General features: G+C 50.4%; 1 long non-coding RNA gene across 2 annotated transcripts, besides 1 other annotated feature; it reads right to left on the bottom strand.

The window, feature by feature from the left end:
- Positions 4-153: an enhancer, noted in NCBI's record as "active region_18484". NCBI's record gives its function as "activates an Ori minimal core promoter by ATAC-STARR-seq in GM12878 lymphoblastoid cells {active_cell/tissue: GM12878}" and the evidence as "EXISTENCE:reporter gene assay evidence [ECO:0000049][PMID:35858748]".
- LOC105372813 (uncharacterized) lies at positions 6,645-10,352 on the bottom strand. 2 transcript variants are annotated; one of them, XR_937742.2, is made up of 3 exons: positions 10,019-10,352; positions 8,799-9,012; positions 6,645-7,232 (listed from the first exon to the last, which is right to left on the bottom strand). It is a non-coding gene; the product is annotated as an uncharacterized LOC105372813 (long non-coding RNA). The 2 variants fall into 2 exon arrangements; XR_937743.2 differs by lacking the exon at positions 10,019-10,352 and adding an exon at positions 9,732-9,992.
- Between the last annotated feature and the right edge of the window lie 669 nt (positions 10,353-11,021).

Raw genomic sequence — 11,021 nt, 5'->3', positions numbered from 1 at the left:
GGCCTCTGGCCTTAGACAGTTCTGCAGGCCAAGCCCTCTGGCCTCTGCCACTCATTAGCTGGGCCCGTTACATAACTTCCCTGGGCTCTGCCATCGGCCTTCCCACCAGCAGAAGCTGCAAGGCTCGGAAGGGCATGACGTCACTTGCAGGGCATTCTATTGGCCATCGTGAGTCACAGGCCCGCCCAGATTCCAGGGTGTGGAAGAGACTCCGCCTCTCCGTGAGAGTTGCTGTTAAGTCACATTGCAAGGGGGTGTGAACTCAGGGAGTGGAACAATTGTGGCCATTTTTTTGTTGTTGTTGCAAACAATCTACCACACAGGGACGGCTGCATTTAATCCTCACAGCAACCCCACTGGCCAGATAGAGAAACTGAAGCACAAAGAGGTGAAGATCCTCGGCCCCATCAGGAATTGCCAGGGCATAAACCCTGGTCTGCCTGCCTCCAGAGTCTGGGCTCTCGTTCCTACCCTCAGGGGCTGGCCTGTGTGCTGGGACCCCGAGGCACATGGCCCAGTTCTTGCCCCATTGCCCATCAGTGCTCAGCTCCCAGTTACCGCAGTCACCCTAAGGCACCTGGAAAACGGAGGGAAGCAGGAACAGGTTTGCTTCTGGTGCCTCCGCCTGCCCTGGAGAAGTCCAGTCCTTCCTCTTCCCTGCAGAGGAAGCTTACAGTTTTATCTGAGTCCTTTTCGCTGTGTGCTAAGCTTCAGGGTTACAGACAGGCTGCTCCCTTTGGTGGCCTTTGTTGGAATGCCATCAGTGTGTACCTTAGGTTCATAAATAATTCAGACTGGCAGCTACCCAGGAAGGAAGCAAACGCCCAGAGCTCACAGCCGAGACAGGTTACAACAAGAATGCGGTGAGCAATGCTGCCGATGGAGAAGCAGGGAGGCAGGAATTCAGGGAACACTTGCCAGCTCCCAGATTTCCAGGTGGGCTCGGGACCACGCTTGTCTTGCAGAAGCTGCGTGCCTGGCCCCCAGCATGCTCAGGGTGGACATGGGTGGCTAACCCAGCACCCTCCCCAACCTTCTTCTCCCCTGCCTGCTTCCATCCAGAGGATGGAGAGCTAAACACTCACCATCCCACAGTCCCCTGCAGACAGAGGTGACTCAGAGATGGCCTTGACAAAAGATCCAAGAACTGCTGACATCCTGGCTCTGACAACGTGAACCTCAGAAGCCCCCAGCAGAGACATGGCTCTAGTCTTCTTGTGATGGGAGAAGGACAGTCCCTACGTGTTTAAGTCACGGTGGATGAGTTTATTCTGTGACTTGCAGTCCAGTGCCTCCTGATAGTGACAGAAATCGCCAAAGTTCTGACTTGCTTTTTCCGGCCTGCTTTTATTCTGCTCACTCTAACAGAGCCAAGCATTTGGCCAGTGTTCCAGTCTCTCCTGTGGCCCTGAACACCACCTCAACGGTTTCCTGTTTACTTTACCTCTTAGGCTGCTAGAATTAACCACTTGCCATTATGCCCCTGCGTCTCCCTACGGCCCCTCCCTCATGGTCTTGCCACCACACCGAGCTAATTTCTTTTGTATTTTTTGTAGAGATGGGGTTTCGCCCTTTTGCCCAGGCTGGTATTCTTGGGCTCAAGCCATCCTCCTGCCTCGGCCTCCCAAAGTGTTGGGATTCTAGACGTGAGCCATGGTACCCGGCCAGCAAAGATTTCTTAGAGACAACATCAAAAGTATTCGATGTTTAAAAACAAAAACTAAAACCATAAATTGGACTTTGTCAAAGTGAAGAGGTTCTTCTGCTTTTGAAAGACATTGATAAATGAATGAAAAGACAAACCACAGGAGAAAATACTTGCAAATCACCCATCTGATAAATGACTTGTAGCCATATAGATAAAGATTGCTTGAAACTCAACAGTAAGAAAACAAAGAACCTAATTTTTTAAAAAAAGAAGAGAATAGGCCAGGCACAGTGGCTCACACCTGTAATCCCAGCACTTTGAGGGGCTGAGGTGGGTGGATCACCTGAGGTCAGGAGTTTGAGACCAGCATGACTAACATGATGAACCCCTATCTCTACTAAAAATACAAAAATTAGCCGGGCATGGTGGCAGGTGCCTGTAATCCCAGCTACTCAGGAGACTGAGGCAGGAGAATCACTTGAACCCAGGAGGCAGAGGTTGCAGTGAGACAAGATCGCGCCATTGCACTCCAGCCTGGGTGACAGAGTGAGACTCCGTCTCAAAAAATAAAAATAAAAAAAAGAGAAAAGAATAGATACTTCACCCACCATATAGAAATGGTAAATAGCACATGAAAAGAGATTCAGCAGCATCAGTCATTAAGGAAACACAAATTAAGACTACAGTGGCTATTACTACAAGCAGCTTAGAATAACTGCAAGAAGAGCTCCCACACCAAGTGTTGGCGAGGATGTGTAGAGACCAGAACTCTCACACCCTGTGGTTAGGAATGTAAAATGGTACAACCGCTTTAGAAAACAGTCCCAGCTACTCGGGAGGCTGAGGCAGGAGAATGGCGTGAACCCGGGAGGCGGAGCCTGCAGTGAGCCGAGATGGCGCCACTGCACTCCAGCCCAGGCGAGAGTGCCAGACTCTGTCTCAAAAAAAAAAGAAAAAAAAGAAAGAAAAAAGAAAACTGACGGTTTCTTGACAATTAAACACACAGCTACCACATGACCCCATTGTTCTGCTCCGAGGTATTTATCCAAGAGAAAAGTCTGTGCCCAAGTGAAGACTTTTGCATAAATAAGCAAAAGTCATAGCAGCTTTATTTGTAATAGCTACAAATAGAAAAAACCCAAATGTCCATCAATGGGTGAGATGGATAAAGGAACTGCAGTATAACCACACAATGGAAGGAGGCATATGCTGACTATCTTGTTGTTGATGCTGAACATCTTGAGCACATGTTCAAGACTTGCACATGTGTCAACACATGTGAGTTGCACACTTTAAACATGTATAGTTTATTATATGGCAATTATACCTCAATTACGTTGTTTAAAAGATGCTTTCGATGCTTTCGAGATTATTAGTAATTGGGGTCAGGGCTCAGGGGAGGGTCAAAAGAAAACTTTTTAGAGTGATGAAAATGTTCTATTTCTTGATTGTGGTGATGGTTACACTACAGCTACCAATTGCTAAATTAAAATAGGTGGATTTTGTTGGATATAAATTATAACTCAATGAAGCTGAAGAAAAATAAATTTCCACTGAAATATCTTGGTATATAAGGACAAGGGGAAAATACTCTAGGGGTGTGTAATTTTTGTTTCTAGTAAAGTGAAAATTGTAATTGGAGAGAAAAAATTAAATGCTCTTTCAAAAAGTAAAAAATAACATATGTTTACATTAAAGCAAAAAACAAATGCCTTCTTTGTTGTATTGATTATCTGGATATTAAAAAGCAATTACAAGCATAATTATTATTATTTTTTTTTTTTGAGACATAGTCCAGCTCTGTCGCCCAGGCTAGAGTGCAGGGGCGTGATCTCAGCTCCCTGCAGCCTTGACTTCTCAGGCTCAAGCAATTCTGTCATCTCAGCCTCCCGAGTAGCTGGGACCACAGGCATGCACCACTATGCCCAGCTAATTTTTTCATTTTTATTTTTATAGAGATAGTGTCTCCCTATGTGGCCCAGGCTGGTCTCAAACTCCTGGGTTCAAGAGATCTCCCACCTTGGCCTCCTAAAGTCCTGGAATTACAGGCGTGAGCCATCGTGCCCGGCCTGAATAATTTTTCTTGATACCTATTCACATTCTTCAATCAGTTTTTAAGCCTTATTTGTTTCTATTGCCATTAGTGGCATTTTTCAGAAGAATGTGCTATTTTCAGAATTGCCTTATTTTAATCTTTCATAAAATTGCCTGGAATCCTCTCCAAGAAGACATTTTTGTGGCTAATGAATTTGAGTTTGCCGACCAGCTAAGTGGAATCTTCTCTGTAGACCCTGAGGTTGTCAGATGAATGAGCAGCTGTAGAGGTAAGATCTGAGCTGACTCTGCTCAGGGGAAGACAGTCTCAGTATTTTCTAATGAAAAGGTCAATATTTCACCCAGATATTGTCACAGGTCCTGTGTTCTGAGTTCAATCCAAAGTCTTTCATAAATGTCTTTATAGGGCAAAATGAGTCAAATAGGCTTTTTTCATGTATAATTCCTTTGAATGTTTTATCAAATTTATGTGCTAAAAATCACAGGCCTTTTCAATTTCATTCCATTCTCATATATAATAAACATACATACTATTAAAATATGAGCTCTAGCAAAAATCTGTTTCATAAATTGAGATGCTCCAAGAAGCAATTTTAGAATTCCAAAGTTATTCTCATACACTATTTGGGTAGACATTATGCGTTTTATTCAGTTTCTCTCTTTCTTTTGTGGTAAGAAATTTAAATAGTCTTTCTGTTTGCAAACTTGCTTTTAATAATTGCTAATAATTAAAACAATAATAATTGTTTTTAATAAAAGCTTTACATTTATTTAATGATTTGAATAAAAATTAAGTCATTATTCAAATTAACTGAATGAGCTTTTCTGTTGGAAGCATCTGATAATACACATATTACATCCATATCACTTAACTGTCTTGTGAAATTGGGCTCATGGAGGTAACACAATAACAGCTATCACGTCATCGAGTAAATTCATAAGAAAACTCAAAGTTGACAAAGAAGGAAATTAATGAGCACTGACATTTGATCTACAAGAAAAGTCCCCGAGTGACACGGCTGCAGGCGTCAGTCACTGTCTTTGGCTGCCTGAAAAGAGTTACCAGCTTTTGAGGTTGATGCTGCTGTTTCTTCTGCTTTTCATGTGCTTGGTGATGTCACTGCATTTACCGCAAATGGTAAATGTTCACAAACATTTTGTGTAAGTAGACATCATAATCAACTTTCTGGAGGAACAGAAATCCAATAAGTTAACTTCTTATTTCACATGCACTTTCATTTTATTTTTTAGCTCACCGTGGCCCAAAGGTCTTATTACGAATATAAAAATGCATTGCTAAATGCTGAGAGAATTAGAGCCACACCATGAAATACAGAAGGACCCCGTTGCGGCAGCGTGGTCAGGCACCTCTCTACACGCACTCTGTTGGCACAGCTCAGTCTCCACATTCTGAACAAATCTCCCAGCGCCCAACTTGTCATTTCCAGCTGCTTCCCACTGACCTTGCCAACTAGTGCCCTCATAGCTTTCTACATCTTTCTGGCCTGGACTCAGGCCACAGCACAGCCGCTGGTTCACCCACTGGGCAGAAGAAGTGGCAGCGTCAAATGCTCCTCCCGCCAAACCCACCAAGACTAAAGGGGCTCCCCTGCTCCCAGCCACTGTGTCTGGGTGCCTTTGGTTTTTCCAGGGAGCTCCTCGTGTTGTCCTTGGAAGAGAAGCTTTAGTGATAGGAAAAGGAGGAACGGCTGATTGCTGGCCTTCTTTCAGAGGTAGCCAGTGTTCCAGTGGGGACTTGTGCCTCCTGTTCACTTTATCAGGCGAGACCATGGCAGAGGCAGACCTGCAGTGCAGGTGCCAGGGCAGCAGGGAGAGCTGCCCTTCTCACCAACTGTCACCCAACGATGCCACCTGCTGAGGCTCATTGCATCTCAATTATTTTGCAAAATGGGGTTTTCTAATTCTGTAATTTCTTCCATATTGATCAGCTTGAATTCCCTGTAGGAAGAACTGACCTACAGCAACTTGGGCTATGTTTTAACCCTGCAAGAGACTGTCTATGGAAGAACAGAAGACGGTTTCATGACTTCCTTCCATTGCTGATTTTTAGCATGAGAAGTGGTGTCCTCATCATGTCTGTGGTGCCCAGTGAGCTGGGCATTTGGCAGGTGTAGGCTCTGGACTCGAGGACTCCTGTGTCCAGTATCTCTGTCAGCCACACCCATTTTGTTTGAGGCTGTTTTGTCCCGTCTATGGCCATGAACCGCCGGCCCTGCTGTCCTCCCGCTCTTGCTTCTGTCCCCACAGGCTGGCCGGGCGCATCTCCCCGTCTCGCTGTGGACCTGCAGTGGGCCTGCCCCAGGGGCTCTGCCCCTCAGCACGGGGGTGGCATCACCAGCCGCAGTCAGGCCTGACCATCACTTCGGTGCCTGGGAGACTGAGGCACAGCTGATGTGAACTGTCTTCCCTGGGGTCACACGCTCAGCCTCTTGATCCCGTCTGTTCGCTGCCCGGTGCCCCACCGCTCCTGCTCTCCATGGCTTCCGCATGGGCTGGCTTCCTGTGGTGGCCCCGGCCCTGGGGAGGACAGCAGGGGGTGGGGGGCGGTGGGGGTAACGGGTGGGGTGCCTGCAGGCCGCTGGGAAGACACACACAAATTAGCCGCATCCCCTTCCTAGAAAGGAAAAGAAAATACAGCCCCACACTGTGGACGCCCACTTCTGTTTGTACAAGTGAGTGTGTGTGTCTAAGTGTCATCTTATGTCTGTGTGTGGTGTGTGTGTGGTCTGTGTGTGTGTGTGGTCTGTATGTGTGTGGTGTCTATGTGGTGTGTGTGTGTAGTTTGCATATGGTGTGTGTAGTATATGTGTGTATGATGTGTGTGTGGTTTGTGTGTGTGTGTGCTGTGTGTGGTATATGTGTGCATGGTGTGTGTGTGTGTGGCATATGTATGCATGGTGTATATGTGGTGTTTGTGGTGTGTGTGTGGTTTGTGTGTGTGAGGGAGTGCTGTGTGTGGTGTATGTGTGAGAGAGACAGAGAGAGAAGTAGGGGGTGGTTGGAGTCAGCTCCGTCCTGCCTCAGTTTCTCCATTTCCCCTTGGGTCAGGAGGGCCTCATTGGCTTTGGGGTGAATCCGCAGGCCCCCGGGAGCTGGTTCTGTAAGGTTTCTGGCGCACAGGGCTCCGCACCCCCATTCCCTCCTGTAACGCTTGCACTAGCACCCAGTTGCTCGGGTCATCTGGACCAGGTCTGTCTGCTGGAAGACGGTCTCTGTCCACCTTGGTGAGGCCCGTGACCCGGAGCTCTGCCGCCCAGCAGGGCTGTGGGGCCCAGGCCAGCCGTGTCCTCTCCCGCGCGGCCTCTGGCAGTGGCCTGCTCAGGTGATCCGGGCCAGGCCACAGGTGGCTAAGGTGTCCCTCTTGCTGGAGAGGGTTTTCTCCAAGGGCTCATGGACACTTTTCTCACCATCATCTTTGTCTTCATTGAGCCGGATTCAGGCTGTGCACTCACTCACTCTCATACCTGCTCTTGAGGGCAGCCTCTCAGAAGGACCCACAGGCCAGGTCCTGGATCAGAGAGAAAAGATAAGAACCGTGATGCTGCCGGCATGACCTCACTCCTGGGTTAGTGAGCCGGCCCCCAGCAGCTCCCTGGGCGGGACTCAGGAAATGGGGTTCCCTTTCCTGCCCCAGCAGTGGTTTCTCGGGTGCTCTGTGGCTTCCACTACCGTCCTCCTTGTGCCAAACTGTCCCTGCCCTTTGGAAGCCTCTGTAAGTGTTTCAGCCATGCCATGGACCAGTGCACGGGACAGGACGCACTGCCCGGAAATCTGAGCTCCATTCTCTAGCTGTAATCCTTTCATGCCCCAGGGAAGTCTTTTAACCTGGCTGTGACTCAGTTTCCTCAATGCTAATAGCCAACTAACCCTTCCCTGCCTCCTCTCCAAACCCCCACAGGATCTGGCATGAGAACTGAGAGTTCTCTATAAATGCAAGCCTTCATTACTCCAGAACGCTCACCTCCACAGCAGGCACCTGACTGTAAGACCCTCAGATGTTGAGGGCCCTCCCAGCAGAAGGAAGGGGTCTGTGCCCGAGACACGGCTGGCACCACCTGCAGGTGCAGGCTCCCTCCTACCTGAGCTGGAGTTCTGTCTCAGCCTTGCTGCTGCTTCTCTGGGAACACAAAAATCTCTCTGCTCACAGTTCCAGGCCTGGGTGCCCCAGGCAGTTTTGCCTGCTGTCTCATTACCTACCCTGGCTTGGGGAGGATTGATTTGATAACTTTCCACCCCCAAAGGAAAGACGGTCTTGAGAAGGAGACAGACAGAATGCCCATCCTCTGTCAGGACAGAGCTTTACTCCAAGCCTCCATCTTCAGAGTCTCTGGGTAGCTGCCACTGACTTAGGGCACAGCTGTGGGTACCCCACCTCCTAAGACAGTATGTAATAAGTGCTGGTTTCTTTTCACCAAAACAAAATTACTTAAAAGAAACTGGACCTTCTGGGAACTGCCTGCTCTCATTTGAAGGTCAATTTCAATCTTTGGCTTCATTTAAAAAAAAAGAAAGAAAGAAGAAAGAAAAAAAAGAAAGAAGAAGAGAAAGAAAGAAAGAAAGAAGAAAGAAAGAAAGAAAGAAAGAAAGAAAGAAAGAAAGAAAGAAAGAAAGAAAGAAAGAAAAGGAAAGGAAAGAAAGGCAAATAAAGAAAAAAAACACCCAAATCTGACTTCCACCTCCCAAGGCAGAATGTAGCCCAGCCTGGGGGTTTTCTGGACCCACTGCAGGGCAGCTGCCATTTCTCCCTCCCTCCCTTCCTCTGTCCACACCTTTCTCCAAGATCCTGATCGGGGGGAATCCTGCACCCCTTCTGGTCTGAGGAGCAAACTGGCCCACCCCATATCCCTATGCACCCCATGCCTCTGCCTGGGAGACTCTGGGGCTCTTTCTCAGGCTCACGGGACACATGCTCACTCAGAAGGGTGGCCGGCTCACGCTGGCCATGTTGTGATCCTACCAGGGCATGGTGGGTGGACGGCAGAGATGGAGGACCGGCCGCCTCCCTCGCCTCCTTCCCTGTCCCCCTCCACCTCCTGTTGCTGCAGTAACCTGGCAGATGACCTGCTGGACTCACCTCTTCTTGGTGCTGGGAAGCCACCTGCCCACCTGCGTGCTGACCCTCGGTCAACAGAACCAGCCGGGCACGCCCCGCACGCAGGCCCTGGCTGGGAGATTCTGAGAACTGTAGGACGCGACCCAGTGCTCCCGGAGTCGCAGGCCAATCCGGGAGAGCTTGCTGTGGAGGCCGCAGGTCCTTCACCGCTGTGGTCCAGCACCTGGAGTGTGTGCTAACAGATAGCCCGGGATGAATGGAGGCCTCAAGGGCGGGTGTGCTGCCTGATTCCTCCCTAGACACCCAGCACCCAGCCCCACCGTTTTCATGCCCAGCAGGTCTAAACGGACGTTGCTGAGGCTGCAGGGGCGCCTCTCCCCATGGAGGAAGCGGACTTCCTGCTCTCCTTGAAGGATGTGTAGGGCTCTGCTGGGGATTGCTGTGGGCTGAATCAATCCCCAAGTCCATGTGTGGGAGCTCCAACCCCCAGGGCCTTGGAATGGGGCTGTATTTGGAGATGGGGTCTTTACAGAGGTGACTAAGGTAAAACCAGGTCATGAGGGTGGCCCTGATACAATCAGACTGGTGTCCTTATAAAAAGAGGAGGTGAGAACACAGACGTATGTTCTTATAAAAAGAGGAGGTGAGAACACAGAGGGAGAAGATGCCATTGATAAGCCAGGGAGGGAGGCCTCAGGAACCAGCCCTGCAGCCCCTGGGATCGACCTCCAGCCTGCAGAGTTGTGAGCAAATACATTTCTATAGTTTAAGCCCCTAGTGTGTGGATGATCATTGAGGGATGAGCTGCGTTCTGGTGGGGGACCCTGGCCACCCTGCAGGTCACGATGGGAAGGGCAGGGTGAGGGGAGAGATGCTCTGGTGGTGGGTGGGGTGTGTCTAGGAGACCTGATTTTCTTTCGTGGGAGCTTTGTTCTCCTTTGACCTGACAAACACCTGGGAGTAGCTGATGAATGCTGGTGCTGGGCCTGCTGCGGTCACCAGGGTCCCGGAGGTCCCCGAGCCGGCTGCTCGAGTGTAATTTTCTGGCTCTCAGGTCAGGGGAGCAACTCTTCCATAGAAGACAAGCCAGAGGCCCCATGGGGGGCTGTGTCATCCTGAAGGGGCTTCCTCCTGCCGCCTGCCCTCTAGATGTGTGGCTGAGATGCAGCAGGATGTTCCATGGGAGGGGGTGCTGAGCTTGGACCCCAGAATCTCACCACGTTGGGGATCTGGACTCTCACCTGCTCTGAGCTCCAAGCATCTCAGGCCCCGCGTGGAAGCACCGCAGGCCTCCTCCTCCCTCTGCTCATGGCTCCCAGACTGAGCCAGCCCATCTTAGCATTCTGCTGCTCCAACGCCAGGGATGTTCTAGATGGGGCTGAATGAAACATTCCTCAGAAAATCCCCAAAGTCAGAGCCAGCACTGACCGAACTCTCAGGGCTGGAAAACTCAGTGGCCATGGATTGGTTGGGCCGGGGGTGAGGCCTGGGGAGTGCTCGCCAGGACCCCGGCTCCTACAGGGCCCCGGAAGTCCCAAGTGCTGGGCTCCGGTCCCAGGGCAGCCGGCCCTCCTTGGCTGGCTCAGCAGACCCACAGGGGCGCTAAGCAGCATTAAGTCATTAATCCCCACACCTTCCTTGTGAGGTAAGCGTTATTATCCCCAGTTTTCCGGCAAGATGAGACAGGTAGGTCGCTCTAATGCTTAGACCGCGGGGCCGCCCAGCTCAGGCAAGCCAGTGGGGGTGGGGGCTGGGGTGGAGGATCCTGCCGCCTGCAGTCTGGGGATCACAGAAGGGGTAAAAGGTTGGGGGAGGTCAGGGGGTAGGGAATATTTGCATGGGGGCTCAGATCCCCCACCTCTGCAAGTCTCCCCTCCCTTCCTCCAACACCCTGAAGACCCCACATTCTACCTGTGTGTGGGTGTAGGGCAAGGGGTGCTATGTTGGGGGCATGCAGTGCTGTAGGCATGGGCAGTGTTGGGTGGCTGTGAGGATTCTGTGAAACAGGACAGAGGCTCCAGGGGTGGGGGCACAGGTCTTAGAGCCAGGCTGGGTGGGGCCGCCCAGCTGGCCGCAGGGTGAGGGGCAGATGCTAGCCCCACCTCGCCTGGGGCATTTTCCTTTGAAAAGGAGTCCAGATGACGAGTGCCAGAGCCCAGAAGTCTTGAGGACACCCTGGCACCCACTACAGAATGTGGTTTTCTGAAACCAAATGACAGCGCCCCCAAGATGGAGTGGCTCTGG

The sequence above is a fragment of the Homo sapiens genome, chromosome 21 (genome assembly GCF_000001405.40).
Source record: "Homo sapiens chromosome 21, GRCh38.p14 Primary Assembly".
NCBI classification, from domain to species: Eukaryota; Metazoa; Chordata; class Mammalia; order Primates; family Hominidae; genus Homo; species Homo sapiens.
This window is presented reverse-complemented; position numbering and strand designations above follow the sequence as displayed.